Source organism: Homo sapiens, chromosome 19 (assembly GCF_000001405.40).
Source record: "Homo sapiens chromosome 19, GRCh38.p14 Primary Assembly".
In the NCBI taxonomy this organism is placed as follows: Eukaryota; Metazoa; Chordata; class Mammalia; order Primates; family Hominidae; genus Homo; species Homo sapiens.
In genome coordinates, this window is record NC_000019.10 from 50,201,116 (window position 1) to 50,215,979 (window position 14,864).

At 52.9% G+C, this 14,864-nt stretch overlaps 1 protein-coding gene and 1 long non-coding RNA gene across 4 annotated transcripts in view, besides 2 other annotated features; one reads left to right on the forward strand and one right to left on the reverse strand.

The window, feature by feature from the left end:
- Positions 1-2,861, reverse strand: part of LOC124904746 (uncharacterized) — a 35,889-nt gene extending 33,028 nt beyond the window's left edge. Inside the window, exon 1 of the long non-coding RNA XR_007067298.1 lies at positions 2,698-2,861. This is a non-coding gene — a long non-coding RNA (uncharacterized LOC124904746). The remainder of the gene's footprint in view (positions 1-2,697) is intronic.
- MYH14 (myosin heavy chain 14) overlaps positions 2,507-14,864 on the forward strand; it is a 106,919-nt gene continuing 94,561 nt past the window's right edge. For all 3 annotated transcript variants that reach the window (NM_001145809.2, NM_001077186.2, NM_024729.4), the window contains exons 1-2: positions 2,507-2,556; positions 9,248-9,655. In NM_001145809.2, the coding sequence (NP_001139281.1) occupies positions 9,251-9,655 (405 nt within the window). In that variant the 5' untranslated portion in view covers positions 2,507-2,556; positions 9,248-9,250. The remainder of the gene's footprint in view (positions 2,557-9,247; positions 9,656-14,864) is intronic.
- Positions 4,229-4,328: a silencer, noted in NCBI's record as "silent region_10951". NCBI's record gives its function as "represses an Ori minimal core promoter by ATAC-STARR-seq in GM12878 lymphoblastoid cells {active_cell/tissue: GM12878}" and the evidence as "EXISTENCE:reporter gene assay evidence [ECO:0000049][PMID:35858748]".
- Positions 14,126-14,701: an enhancer, noted in NCBI's record as "H3K4me1 hESC enhancer chr19:50718498-50719073 (GRCh37/hg19 assembly coordinates)". NCBI's record gives its function as "activates a minimal SCP1, AML or CMV promoter by ChIP-STARR-seq in naive H9 embryonic stem cells {active_cell/tissue: H9 hESC(naive)}" and the evidence as "EXISTENCE:reporter gene assay evidence [ECO:0000049][PMID:30033119]".

The window sequence follows — 14,864 nt, forward strand, 5'->3', positions numbered from 1 at the left end:
TCACAACTGTGAGCTGTGTTATCACTGCGAGTACTCTCAGAAAGGTCCTTTTCTCCCCAGGATGTTGTTTCCCCATCTGCAAAGAAGTGGAAGGTGGCTGTGGCAATCTCAAAGCCATGGCAATCTTGACACTATGACCACAGGGATGGTCCTGTGATTCACCTTTGCTGTTGCTGAGCAAGTGCATTGGGAGTTGGATGCTTGAATCTGTGTCTGCCCTCAGCACCCAACTCCAGCTTCTCTTGTCTCTTTTCTGCCCATCTCTTATCTCCCAACATTTCCTTTCATATTTCTTTGGCTTCTTGCTCGTACGCTAGACTTCGTATGTATATAGTTTCTCTCCTGCATGCTGTTTGTAGGACAATAAATGGCAATAGTCATGATAATCAGTATTTTCTTTTTCTTTTCTTTCTTTTTTTTTTGAGATGGAATCACTCTGCCACCCAGGCTGGAGTGCAGTGGTGCTATCTCCGCTCACTGCAACCTCCGCCTCCTGGGTTCCAGTGATTCTCCTGCCTCAGCCTCCCGAAAAGCTGGGATTACAGGCGTGGGCCACTATGCCTGGATAATTTTTGTATTTTTAGTAGAGACGGGGTTTCACCATGTTGGCCAGGCTGCTCTCGAACTCCTGACTTCAAGTGATCTGCCTGCCTCAGCTTCCCAAAGTGCTGGAATTAGAGGCGTGAGCCACCGCTCCTGGCCAGTACTTTCTTATTCAGCCTTTTCCCTGGTGCCAGGACTGTACTAAGAGCTTTGTAGGCACTAATTCACTTAATCCACTCAATACAAGCACTCATTACCATTTACTCAACAAACACTTATTAAACACCTACTGTGTGCCAGGCACTGAGGATTCGGCACTGAACAAAATAAAGATCTTTGTCCTCGTGGGACTTAAATTCTAGTGAGGAGACAGATGATAAACAGATAAATTAGCAAACACTCCCAGTGCTATGAGAAAAAGCAAAGCGGGGTTAAACGAGAGAGAGTGATGAGAGGAACTGTCTTATATAGGATGGCCAGGAAAGGCCTCTTGGAAGAGGTGATATTGGAGCAGAACGGATGATGTGGGAGAGAGGTTGTCATGCAAAACCTGGGGAAGAGCATTCCTGGTGGACCCAACAGAGAATGCAAAGGCCTTGGGGCAGCACCAGGCCTCCTGGTTTGAGAAATTGAGCCAGTGTAGCTGGAGCAGTATGAAGGGGAGGGCCTGGGGGTGAGATCAGAGAGAGCAAAAGGGCCAGCCACATCCCGCAGGACCTCATTGGCCATGGTGAGTTCTTAGACTTTTACTGAGTGAAATGGGAGCCATGGAAGGCTCTGAACAGAGGAAAGGCCCCATCTGAATAGAGTAGACTGTAGGGAGAGCAAGGGTGAAGGCAGACAGTCCATCACTCCCATTTTACGAGTGCAGAAATAAATGGAATCTCAAAAAAGTCCAGCAACTGGCCTGAGCCCACACAGCTGCTGAGCAGCCGAGCCAAGCTGGCAGGCCTCCTTGGGTTCAGTGGAGCCATTCCTTTGTGCCCTTGGCTCTTTTTATTTTCCTTTTAAATAGAGATGGGGCCTATGTTGCCCAGGCTGGTCTTGACCTCCTGGGCTCAAGTGATCCTCCCACCCTGGCCTCCCAAAGTGTTGGGATTACAGGTGTGAGCCACGGCACCCTTCCAACCTTGGGAAGTCTTTTGGCTCTCCTGAGCCTCAGTTTTCCCATCTGTAAATTGTAAATGGGGAATCATTACCACGTTTGGGCATAGCATGGCGGTTAAAAGCACAACTTCTGGTTGGATCTGAGTCCTTGCTCTGCCATCGGCCAGCTCTGTGACTTTCTGCAATTAACACCCTCTTTCTAAGCTTGGGGTTACCTCATCTAGAAGATGAAGATCTTAATAGCACCAATTTCAAGGGCTTCGTTGTAAGGATTAAATGAGATCATGCAGGTAAGGCGCTTAGCACAGCTCCCGGTCTACATCGAAGTGCTTGATAAACGATCATTGTTATTCCGATAGTATCACGGCCCACACCTCCCCGGTGGGTGAGAGCCTGGGAGGGTGCCTGGTACATGGTCTACGTTCGACAAAAGTGAATTCTGTCTCCTGTCTCTCCTGCCCGCCGGGTCCCGGGGGACCCAGGCATTCCGGCCTTCGGTCGGCCCCCCCACGCCGGCCCTTACAAAGGCCCCCATTCATGCCTTGCGCACAAAGCGGCCCATTCACCCTGGCCCCTTGGGCCTCCCGCCCCCGGCCGCCCCCCGCGCCTCGCTATTGGTGGCGCCCCGTGCCCATCAGGCCTCGGCTTCCACCCCCGACCGCGCCGCCTAGCTCCGCGCCCGGGCCGCGTTCTTTTCCCACGGCTGGCACCCTTCGACAACTTCTGATTGGCCCAGCCCGCCAGCCGCTCTTTTTGATTGGCGGCTCCCGTCCCCCAGGGGCGGGGCCGTAGCTTGCCGCAGCGGGCGCCGATTGGCCTCTGCTGCTCTCTTGGGGGCGGGGCTGTCCTGGCGGACACGCCCCTCTTTCTCCCCAGGCCGAAGCCTCGGGACGGCCCTGGAAGCCGGTGAGTGCCCGGGGCCGGCAGCCCTCCGGGGGCGGCGGAACGGGACTGAGCCAGGGGAAGCTGGAGCCTGGGGGCTGCGATCGGGGCCCGGGAGCCCGGGCAGGCGGCCGGGGACGGCGGGGAGGTGACGCGGACACTCACCTTGGGCGCGCAGCGGGACGGCGGCGAGGGAGGTGGGGGGGCGGGACGTCTACACTCCCCCAACTCCAGTTGCCGCCGTGTGCGAGGCCCGGTCGGGGTCCTCGTTGTCAGCCCCGGGCCTGTTCCGCAGAAGGGGAAACTGAGGCTGTCTTTGGAACCTCGGCCGCTTTAATACCTGAGTCATCGCCTCCAGTCCCCCGCCCCCAGCATGACATGTCTCTGTTCTCACGTGTCAGAATCGGAGGCCAGAGAGAGGGGTCGTGACTGGAAGAGGCGGAGGGGTAGGGAAGGACATATTTGAGAACCTATGATGTACTTGGACGCTTTTATTTTTTATAACTAAATAATTTCCTTTCCTTATCGTGTTGACTCGAGGTGAGTTATATTGTACCCATTATACAGAGAGGGGAAGGCTGAGACTGGGCCGAATTGGTGACTGCAGGGGGACCTGGTGGAGAAGAACACTCCAGAGACCAACTGTGTGCTGGGTCCTTTAACCTTTTCAGTCCCACAGGAGTCCCCTAAGGAAAGCGGTGGTCCCTGTGGCATAGATGGGGAAGCAGGTTGGTAGTAATCACCAACTGGGACGCAGAAATTCATGTCTTTAGGGACCTGCTACAAGTTCTTTCCAGACCCCCTCCTTTAGAATGGCAGAAAACGGTATAGGCTTGAATTCCAGACCTCCCTCTTACGCTGTGTGATCTTGAGTGCCTTACTTTGACCCTTCCTGCCTCAGTTTCCACATCAGAGAAATGGACATGCTGATCACCCCTATGTCATTGGTTGTTGAGGTTATTCTAGGCCGGGCGCAGTGGCTCAGGCCTGTAATCCCAGCACTTTGGGAGGTGGAAGCGAAAGAATCGCTTGAGCCCAGGAGTTCGAGACCAGCTTGGGCAACACAGCGAGACTTCGTCTCTACAAAAAGTAAAAGAGTTAGCCGGGCGTGGTGGCGTGACCCTGCTGTCCCAGCTACTCGGGAGGCTGAGCAGGGAGGATCGGTTGAGCCCAGGAGGTCAAGGCTGCAGTGAGCCATGATCGTGGCATTGCACTCCAAGCTGGGCAACAGAGAGAGACCCTGTCTCTCCCTCTTTTTTTTTTTTTAAATCATTTTATGATCTCAAAGAGCTGTTCTAAGAGGAGAAAATACCCGACACATAGTAGGTACTCTTATCACCATGTAGTCTTTATTTCACTCCCGAGACTGAAGCTCAGGACAGAATACCATTGTCCTCTTCTTTGGTACTCTTACTGTCTATAGATTTTGTTGTTCCCTTCCCGCAGTTGGGAAACTGAGGCTCAGGGAGATTAATGATGAAGCACTGGGCTGGGGAACTTTCTGAACGTCGTTTTATTAATTTCACTGGCCGCAATGCACAGCAGGGAAAGCTGAGGCCCAGGAAGCTCCAGCGGGGTTTGAATCCCGGGAATCCTCAGCCTTCTCCGCGGCGGGCCCTCGACCTTTGCCCTCCATAAGGGGGAGGAGCCCCTGGCGCCGCCGCCGCCGCCGCCCACCTGGCAACAGGCTCAACCCCCGCCTTCCCCCGGCCCCCGTCAGAGGCCCTGAAGCTCCAGGCCCGCCCCGTTCCCAGCCGGGCAGGTGCTGGGTGACATCAGAGCCGGGCTCCCGCCCTGTGACGCGACGGGGCCCCGCCCTGCGCTGGACCGCGGAGGTCGCTGCACCTGAAGAGAACGGGGATTCCCGCGCCCTCACCCCATCTCCCCGCTCCGGTCGGCGCCCCCAGGTAGCCCCGAGGATCTGCGAGTTGAGGGGGCGGCGACACAGGCGCTTGGGTCCAGGGGAATGGGTACGGGGCTCTCAGACTCCTGGATCTGAGAAGGGGCCTTGGGGGCCGGCTGTCCCAGGTCTGAGGAAGGACTGCGCCGCGAGCCCGAACTTCTGGGTCCTGGGGGAGGAAAGGACTGGGGCCAGGACTGCAGAGCTGGGGTCTTAGGGGAGGAGGGGGCTGCAAGCCCGGATTCTGGGGTCTGTAGGAGCAGGGGCTGGGGGCCTGAACTCCTGGGTCTGAGACAGGAGGGCATTGAGTACTGGGACTCCGGAAACCCAGCGCTAGAAGCCAGGGTCAGACGGCTGGATGCCAAGGGCCCCAACCTCTGCCCCAGGGCGGATCCCTGGCTGCTTTTCTTTTTCAAGCCCAGCAGTCTCGGCCCCTCCCAGGGCAGGTGCTTTCACCTGCCCAGGTGACAGTAATTAGCCCTGGCAGAGTGTTCCTGCTGGTTGAGGAAGGGTAGGGCAGTCAGAGAGGCTCGGCCACTTGGAGCCAAGGCCTGCAGGCCCTGCCCGCCCCATCAGGGCTGTGATCCATCTTCAGAACTCAGCATCCTCACCTCTAGCCCGGCTGCAGTGAGGTGAGGGGGCCTGCACTTCCCAATCCATAGGAGGAGGGGGCTGGGGGCTCAGACTCCTGGGTCCTGGGAGAGGAGGAGGCTGGGAGCTCGGACTCCTCAGCCTGGGGAAGGAAAGGGCTGGGGGCTTGGACTCTTGGCTCCAGGGAGGAGAGGCATAGGGCATAGGGTGATTGCAAAAACTCCGAAACCCTTCCTGGTCAAAGGCCACAGGGCTGGTGAGGAAGTGGATGGGGTGGGGTGGGGTGGGTGGGGGTGAGGGTAAAGTCCCAGGGATGGAGTTTGGGTCCGGTGTATCCAGGTCACACTGGAGATATGGGGTGAGCCTTGACGATTTGGGGGCCACGGGGTGGAGAAACTCCCTGCTGCCTTCAGAGTGCAAGGGTCCAGCGTTTGAGGCCTGAGAGCCTCAGGGCCAAGAGTCACTGGAAGCTGGAGCTGCTGGGCTTGGGGATGGGAGGAGAGGGTCTGGGAGGAAGTGGGTCCTCTCAGCGGAGCTGGGATTCCCGTGGGAGAGGCTTGAGGGAAAGGCAGGAGTCTGTTGGGACCAGATCCAGGGGGGCCTCCAGGGCAGCTGGGCGTTTAGAAGGACTTCTCCAGGGGTATGTGGGAGCGAGGTGGGGACGGCAGTTGCATATAGGTCTATCGGGCAGAGGTGAAGTCCTGCTGTTGGGGAGACAGAAATCTCCCACTGTTTCTGTGACTGATGTGGTGGGGCAGTGATGGGGACATTTGAGGCAGTGGATGAGAGTAGGGGCCGGGCGTAGTGGCTCATGTCTGTAATCCCAGCACTGTGGAGGCCAAAGCAGGAGGATCACTTGAGCCCAGGAGTTTGAGATCAGCCTGGGTAACATAGGGAGACCCTGTTTCTACCAGAAAAAAAAAAAAAAAAAAAAAAAAAGGCTGGGCCTGATGGTGCGCACCTGTGGTCCCAGCTACTGAGGAGGCTGAAGTGAGAGGATCACTTGAACACAGGAGTTGAGGCTGCAGTGAGCTGTGATTGTGCCACTGCACTCCAACTCCAGCCTGGGCAATAGAGCGAGACCTATCTCTAAGAAAAAAGAGAGAGAGAGAGAGAGAAAGAGAGAGAGAGACAGAGAGAGAGAGAGAGAGAGAGAGAGAGAGAGAGAGAGAGAGACTAGGGGCAGACTTCTTTAGCAGGAGGGGGCCACGCAGCAGGATAGGGAGAATATTTTTCCTGCCTGGTGCTTGGACCGCGTTGGAATTGCCACTACTGCCCATGGCCCGCTGGATGGTGGGAGGGGCCTAACACATTCTAGTTCCCCCAGCACCTGGTTGCCTCCGAGATAGCTGGAGCTGGATCCACCCCTAGGCCAGGAGCTCCTCCAGGCAGGGCTCCCAGCCTACTCTTCTCTGGGTCCTCAGGCCCACTCGGGGCGGAGTCTCGTACTTGAAAGTCCTCAGAGAGTTGAATGAATGGGTCCAGTCTCCCCATTTTATGGAGAAGGAGTCAGGTTCCAGAGAAGGAAGGAATTGTTCACTGAAGCAGTGAGATTCGAGTCTATTCTGCAGGCATGAGATAGGCGTGACCAGAGGTGGTCAGGGAACCTGAATGACAAAAATCAGGTCAATTCCCACCCTGGGCTCATATCTTAGAGTAAAAGCAAGGTTGTACCTTTTGTCCCCTCTCTTACATCCCCTCCCACCCTCTGCCCCTCGATCATTTGGCTCTAGCCATGCTGCCTACCTCACAGTGACACAGCCACACAGATGCATTGTGGCCCCAGGACCTTTGCACTGCTGTCTGGAATGATTTTTCTCCCAACAACCCCCTTCCTCGCTCCTGTCATCTCCCTTGGGTCTTCATTTAAATGCCACACCAGAGAGGCCCTCCCTGGCCACCCTAATGAAAACTTCAACATCCTCAACCCTAACATTTCCTGTCCCCTGGTTTATTCCTCCCCTTGGTATTTATCACCATTTAATGTACTATCTGGCCGGGCATGGTGGCTCGTGCCTGTAATCCCAGCACTTTGGGAGGCCCAGGCGGGCGGATCACCTGAGGTTAGGAGTTTGAGACCAGCCTGGCCAACATGGTGAAACCCCATCTCTACTAAAAATACAAAAATTAGCCAGGCATAGAGGCATGCGCCTGTAATCCCAGCTACTTGGGAGGCTGAGGCAGGAGAATCTCTTGAAACCGGGAGGCAGAGGTTGCAGTGAGCCAAGATCAAGCCACTGCACTCCAGCCTGGGTGACAGAGCAAGACTCTGTCTCAAAAAACAAAAACAAACAAACAAACAAACAAACAAACAAACAAAAAAACCCAACAAACCCACCAAACATACCATATTTGGTTTCTGTAAAAAAATAAAAAAGAGAGAGAGAATTTTTAAAAAACAAAAACCATACTATCTAATTTACATTTTTAATCTTTTTATCTGTCTCCTGGGATTACAGCAGCTCTGTCAAATAGCAATATAATACAGGCCAGATGTGTAATGTAACATTTTCTAGTAGCCACATTTAATGATAAAAGTAAAAAAGGAACGGGTAACATTAATTTAATGATATATTTTATTTAACCCAGTAGATTGAAAATATTATCATTTCAGCATGTCATCAAATATTTAAAATCTCAGCAAACTATCTTTTTGTTGTACTAAGTCTTGGAAATCTGGTGTGTATCTTACACTTAGAACTCCAGATGGGGATATTTATATTTAAATTTTAAGATGGGGCTCGGTGGCTCACACCTGTAATCCCAGTACTTTGGGGAGCCAAGGCAGGAGGATCGCTTGAGCCCAGGAGTTTGAGACCAGTCTGGGCAACATAGAAGACCCTGTCTCTACAAAACAAATTTAAAAATTAGTAGGCATGGTGGCATGCCTGTTAATACATTTATTTTTTAATTAATAAATTTCAGACATGAATCACCTGAGGCTGGGAAGTCAAGGATGTGGTGAGCCGTGGTTGTACCACTGCACTCCAGCCTGAGCAACGGAGTGAAACCTCATCTCAAAATAAAATAAAATAGATTGAATTTAAATGAATGAAATTGAAAATGTGTTTCCTCAGTGACACATGCCACATTGCAAGTACCCGGTAGTGCACAGGTGGTGGTGGCTTCTGCAGTGGACAGCCCGGGGCTAGAAAGTAAACTTTTGGAGGCAGGCGTCTTCTTCCAGCTTGTCTGTTGCTCCATTGTCAGTGCCCAGAACTGAGCCTGGCCAGGAGTGGTGGCTCACGCCTGCAATCCCAGCACTTTGGGAGGCTGAAGAGGGTGGATCACCTGAGGTCAGGAGTTCAAGACCTGCCTGGACAACATAGTGAGACCCTAATTTCTACAAAAATTGAAAATAATTGGCCAGGCGCGGTGGCTCACACCTGTAATCCCAGCACTTTGGGAGGCCGAGGCGGGCAGATCACCAGGTCAGGGGATCGAGACCAACCTGGATAACACAGTGAAACGCTGTCTCTACTAAAAATAGAAAACAATAGCCGGGTATGGTGGCAGGCGCCTGTAGTCCCAGCTACTCAGGAGGCTGAGGCAGGAGAATGGCGTGAACCCAGGAGGCGGAGCTTGCAGTGAGCCGAGATCGTGCCACTGCACTCCAGCCTGGGCGACACAGTGAGACTCCATCTCAAAAAAAAAAAAAAAAGAAAATAATTAGCCGGGGCCGGGTGTGGTAGCTCATGCCTATAATCCCAGCACTTTGGGAGGCCGAGGCAGGCAGATCACCTGAGGTCAGGAGTTCGAGACCAGCCTGGCCAACATGGTGAAACCCTGTCTCTACTAAAAATACAAAAATTAGCTGGGCGTGGTGGCAGACGCCTGTAATCCCAGCTACTTGGGAGGCTGAGGCAGGAGAATCACTTGAACCCTGGATGCCGAGGTTGCAGTGAGCTGAGATCACGCCATTGCACTCCAGCCTGGGCAACAAGCGAGACTCCGTCTCAAAAAAAAAAAAAAAAAAAAAAAAAAAAAAAAGAACTGACCCTCTGAGCCTGGTTCACAGCCTAGCTTATTAAAGAATGAATGAGTGCCTAGAGAGGTGAATGAATGAAATGAGTAAGCTGGGTCTGTTAACCCACTTTGCAGAAGTATGGCAAGAGGTCTGGTAAAGGAAGGCAGAGGTGGCTGCCTGGGGAATTTGGGGTAGGGAAGGGAGGCCCGGGGGACGGAGCCCCATCTGACCCCCACCCTCTTTCTTTGCCCCTGCAGACCATGGCAGCCGTGACCATGTCGGTGCCCGGGCGGAAGGCGCCCCCCAGGCCGGGCCCAGTGCCCGAGGCGGCCCAGCCGTTCCTGTTCACGCCCCGCGGGCCCAGCGCGGGTGGCGGGCCTGGCTCGGGCACCTCCCCGCAGGTGGAGTGGACGGCCCGGCGTCTCGTGTGGGTGCCTTCGGAGCTTCACGGGTTCGAGGCGGCGGCGCTGCGGGACGAAGGCGAGGAGGAGGCGGAGGTGGAGCTGGCGGAGAGCGGGAGGCGGCTGCGACTGCCGCGGGACCAGATCCAGCGCATGAACCCGCCCAAGTTCAGCAAGGCCGAGGACATGGCCGAGCTGACCTGCCTCAACGAGGCCTCGGTCCTGCACAACCTCCGGGAGCGGTACTACTCCGGCCTCATCTACGTGAGTGGGCTCCTGCTGGGGGGCGCGTGCGGCGGAGTTGCTGCCGGTTGGGGAACCAGGTCCACCACCCGGCTCCCCTGCATTAACTTGAGGCTGTTTATCATCTGTATCCCATGTCCCGTGACTGTTCCTACACTTACATGGTTGCCAAATTATGAATTGTTGGATTACTAGGACAGCCTCGGAACCTACTGGGGACATTGCATGATACATATGGTAGATAAACTGTATTATTTTCCTAAAGTATAAAACGTTCCAATTTCTCAGATATAGCTCATCCCGAGTTTTAAGGAACGGAAACAGATGTGTGACAATCATTAATGTGAATCACTGAGTATAGAAATGTGTTGCTTGAGGTTCAAGACCAGCCTGGGCAACAAAACGAGACCCTATCTCTTAAAAAAAGATAAATTAGCCAGGTGTGGTGGTGGCCCGTGCCTTTAGTCTCACCTTCTAGGAAGACTGAGGCAGGAGGATCACTTGAGCCCGGGAGGTCAAGGCTGCAGTGAGCTATGATGATACCACTGCACTCCAGCCTGGGTGACAGCACAAGACCCTGTCTCAAAAAAAGACAAAAAGCAAAAACCTTATGCTAGGCTCTGTGCTAAATGCCTATCTATTAATTCATTCAATCTCACCATAGGAAAGATAGAGTCTATTATTATTACCATTTTACCTAAGAGGCAAATGAGGCCCAGAGAGAGTTAATAACAATAAAAATGAACATTTATTAAACATTTACCAACCATTCTTCCAAGCTTTCTAAAATACATTGCCTCTGTACATTTTCAGAATTATAAAGCATCTGATCCTCATTTTACAGGTAAGAAAACTGAGGCACAGAGAGTTCAAGGTCACACAATTAGACCTGACAGAGCCAGGTAGTCTGTCTTCTCACTTTGCTGTGGTGCCTCTTAAGATTGAGATGGGGCTGGGAATGGTGGTTCATGCCTGTAATCTCAGTACTTTGAGAGGCTGAGGTGGGTGGATTGCTTGAGCCCAGGAGTTCGGGACCATCCTGGGCATGGCAAAACCCCATCCCTGCAAAAAAAAAAAAAATACAATAAATTAGCTGGGCATGGTGGCACACTCTTGTAGTCCCAGTTACTTGGGAGGCTGAGGTGGGAGAATCACCTGAGCCCTGAAGGTGGAGGCTGCAGTGAGCTGTGATGGCGCTACTGTACTCCAGCCTGGGTAACAAATCAAGACCCTGTCTCAAACAAAACGAAACAATACAAAAACCCATTGAGAAGAGATTGATGATACTTAGGTTGACTATGGTAGTCTTCCCACGTCTGTGCTAAGCATTGGAGGTTCGTTGCATTTTTAAAACTCTTTACAGCAAACGGATGGGGTAGAGCAGTGGTTCTTAACCCCACCTCTATGGTAGAATCATTTGGGGAATTCTTAGAAAATACCAGTGACGGAGCCCCACCCCAGAACTTTCAGTCGAGCTCTCTGGGGCTGTGACATGAACATTGGTATTTTTAATAAGCTTCCAAGGAGGTTCTAATGGGCAGCCAAGGGGTTATTAATTTCATTGAACAAAAGAGCAAACAGGATTAGAGAGATTGACAAGGAATATGGACAATCATAATGAAAAATAATAATAAGAGGAGGCTAGCAAATATTTAATCGAGCACTCGTGATGTGCCAAGCACTGTTCTAAGTGTGGCGTGTGAGTTATCAGCTTCCCTCTGGGCCAGGGACTGCTGATATCACCTGATGTTCAGGATGTTAAGTGACCCACAGCCATGAAGGAATCACGCCAGGATTTGAACCCAGGCAGCTGGTTCCAGAGTCATGCTCCAAACTCTAGCTTAGACTGGTGGGGTCTCACAGCTTTGCTCCAACATCCACCCCTCTGAGGTTCACAAAGCGGAAGATTAGAATATTTTTGTGAAGTCCCACTCCTACTTGGAGATCGAGGCTCTGAGATAAGCAGTGGCTGGCTCAGGGTCCCTCAGCTTGTGGTGGCAGGTGTGGAATTTGAATCGAGGGCTGTCGGACCCTGCATGGGGTTGGTGTCTTCTCCAGTCTGCACTGGCCCTTTCCAAATCCTCAAACACCTTTACTAGCCCTGGAAAAGAGGCCTCTACATGATCCACTCCCCCACATCTCACCCAAGGCCACAGACATCAGGATGACATCCAAAACATGGATCCACTAGTTGCCTTTTATTCATTTATATATATTTTTTGAGACAGGGTCTCACTCTGTTGCCCAGGCTGCAGTGCAGCAGCATGATCTTGGCTTACTGCAGCCTTCACCTCCTGGGATCAAGCAACTCTCTTGCCTCAGCCTCCTGAGTAGCTGGGACTACAGGCGCCTGCCACCAGGCCCAGCTAATTTTTGTATTTTTAGTAGAGTTGGGGTTTCACCATGTTTGTCAGAGCTCGAACCTCTGAGCTCAAGTGATCTGCCCAACTCAGCCTCTCAAAGTGCTGGGATTACAGGGGTGAGCCACTGCATCCGGCCACTCTTTGCCTTTTAATAAATACTCTGAGCGCTCCCAGCAACCTTGTAAGGTATCTGCTGTCATCCCCGCTCTGCAGGTGGGGAAGCTGAGCCTCAGACTAGGGGGCAGGATTTGAACATAAGCCCCACAACTAGGAACCAGCTAAGCTAGAACTTGAAACCAGGTCACTGTGACTGCAGACCCCAGGTCCTAGCCATTGCACTAGGAAGATTATTCAGAAAGTTCAGGAGAAAAAGTGGTAGGGCCTGAGCTAAGGTGGTGGCCAGGGAGCCAGACTTTTGGGGCCTAAGAAATGAATGTGAGAGAGAAGATTCTAGAATTCCAGACAGGAAGCACATTGGGCCTTAATAAAGATCATTAGCACTTAGTGAGTACCTGCTTTCTCTGCTGGGTGCTGTTCTAAATTTCTTTCCAATATGATCTTATTGACCCCCTCCCCATCCACATAAGGTTGTGAGGTAGGGATTATCACCCTCTTTTTCCCACAGCTTGGAGAGGGGAAGCCATTTGCCCAACAGAAGCTGATAGTGGCTAAAATATTGAGCATGCAGTGTTTCAAGGTCCATGTTCTGTTTTTTGTTTGTTTGTTTGTTTTAGACATAGCCTTGCTCTGTCACACAGGCTGGAGTGCAATGGCATGCTTACAGCTCACTGCAGCTCAACCTCCTGGGCTCAAGTGATCCTCCTGCCTCAGCCTCCTAAGTAGCTGGGACTACAGGCACATACCACCAAGCCTGGCTGATTTTTTAATTTGTTGTAGAGACAGTGTTTCACAATGTTACCCAGGCTAGTCTCAAACTCCTGGACTCAAGTGATCCTCTTGCCTGGGCCTCTCAAACTGCTGGATTTACAGGCTTGAGCCACTGCTGTGCCCAGCTGGGGTTCACATTAAACCCTCTGCATGCCACATGAACTTGTGGATGACTCCCAGGCACCTTATGTAGGAAGCACTATTTCTGTCCCCGTTAGCTAAAGACACTGAGACCCTGAAAGGTTGCTTGCTGGAGCCACCTGGCCTGAAAATGTTACAGGTGTGATTCAAACTCTGCCCTATTTAAGACCTGTGCTTAATACATGTTTGTTGACTGACCAACTGATGATGGGGATGGTGGTGTTGTCCAGTGAAAAGTGGGACATCCAGGGCTCCAGAAACCCAGTTTCTGCCACTAATAGGCTGTTTGGCTTTGAGTTGCTAAGAGTCTCAGTCCCTTTCCTGGGACCCTTGGGGCAGGGAGGGAACCCCTTCGTAGAACACCCCGCTCTGAGAAACACGGAAGATGCATTATGTGATTTCACACTCAGAACACTTCTAGGTGATGGGTTAAAAGCCGCATTTTCCAGGGCTGGAAACTGAGGTTTAGAGAGGACACATCCTTCATTCAAATTCACACACAGCTCAAAAATGCTGCATCTGAATTTGAACACTGGATGGCTTCAAAGTCTGAGTGATGAGCCTGAGAGTTTGAGGCTGCAGTGAGCCAGGATCGTGCCACTACACTCCAGCCTGGGCGACAGAGCCAGACTCTGTCCCACCCGCCCCCGTCCAAAAAATTCCGAGTTAGCCTAGGGCTCCCAGGTAGGATGAGTGATGTAAGAGTCTCCAGACCCATATCTGGCGTGTGTTGCATGGGCCCCGCCTCGGCCTGGCTGGTTTTTATCCATGATCTCCCCTAATCCCCACAGCCTTTGTAATGAGGTGGGGAGTGTCGCCCTCGGTTTCCCAAGGAGGAAACTGAGACTATGGGGAAAGTCACCAGGCTGAGGGGAGCGGGGGGGCAGGTCTGTCTTCAGAGCCCCGAGGGCTGGAGCAGCCATTCCTGACCCTTCCAGGAGGGCTTCCCCAGCTGTCTCCCACCCTGTGGGGGTGCACCAGCCTTTGTTCTTCCCCCCAGCCTTGTTGACCAGCTCAGGTTTCCGTTCCCAGGGTGTCGCCCTGGAAACAAGGTGTGGCTGGCAGGAGGGGCCAGGGTGGGAGGGTGGCGTGGGGAGTGGGTTCCTCCGCCAGCCAGGAGTGGGGGCCGGGGCGCCGGCAGCCATGAGATACCCTCCCAGGGAATGTGGTCCGGCCGCCCCACCCTCTGAGAGCTGGGGGGAGCTCCCGGAGCAGCCCTTTCAGGCAGGGAGGGCAGACACCCAGCAAACCGGTTGTTCTGCTCCTGGCTGGCCACCCAGGCCACCCACCCTCCCACCGTTAGAAGGTTGGCACCTGGGACCAGGCAGCCTGTGGTGGCCACACCCTACTGTGCTTGAGAAGCTCAAGCTCCCTGGGAGCTTAAAACAGTTCTGCTGGCCGGGCACAGTGGCTCATGCCTGTAATCCCAGGCATGCCGGGGTGGGAAGATCACTTGAGCCAGGGGTTCAAGACCAGCCTGGGCAACATAGTGAGACCTGATCTCTACAAAAAGTAAAAATTTTAAAAATTGGCCAAGCATGGTGGTGCATACCTGTGGTCCCATCTGCTTGGGAGGCTGAGGTGGGAGGATTGTTTGAGCCCAGGAGGTAGAGGCTGCAGTGAGCTGTGTTCATGCCACTGCACTCCAGCCTGGGTGACAAAGTGAGATCCTGTTTCTAAAAAACAAAAGAAAAAGATAGTCCTGCTGCTAACCAGCTTAGAAACCAGCTAGCTGGGTGACTAGCAGAGTAGGTTACCCTACTTTATCACACACAGCTAGAAAACACATCTGAATTTGAATCCCGGGTGGCTTCAAAGTCAAGCGACAAGCCCAGAGT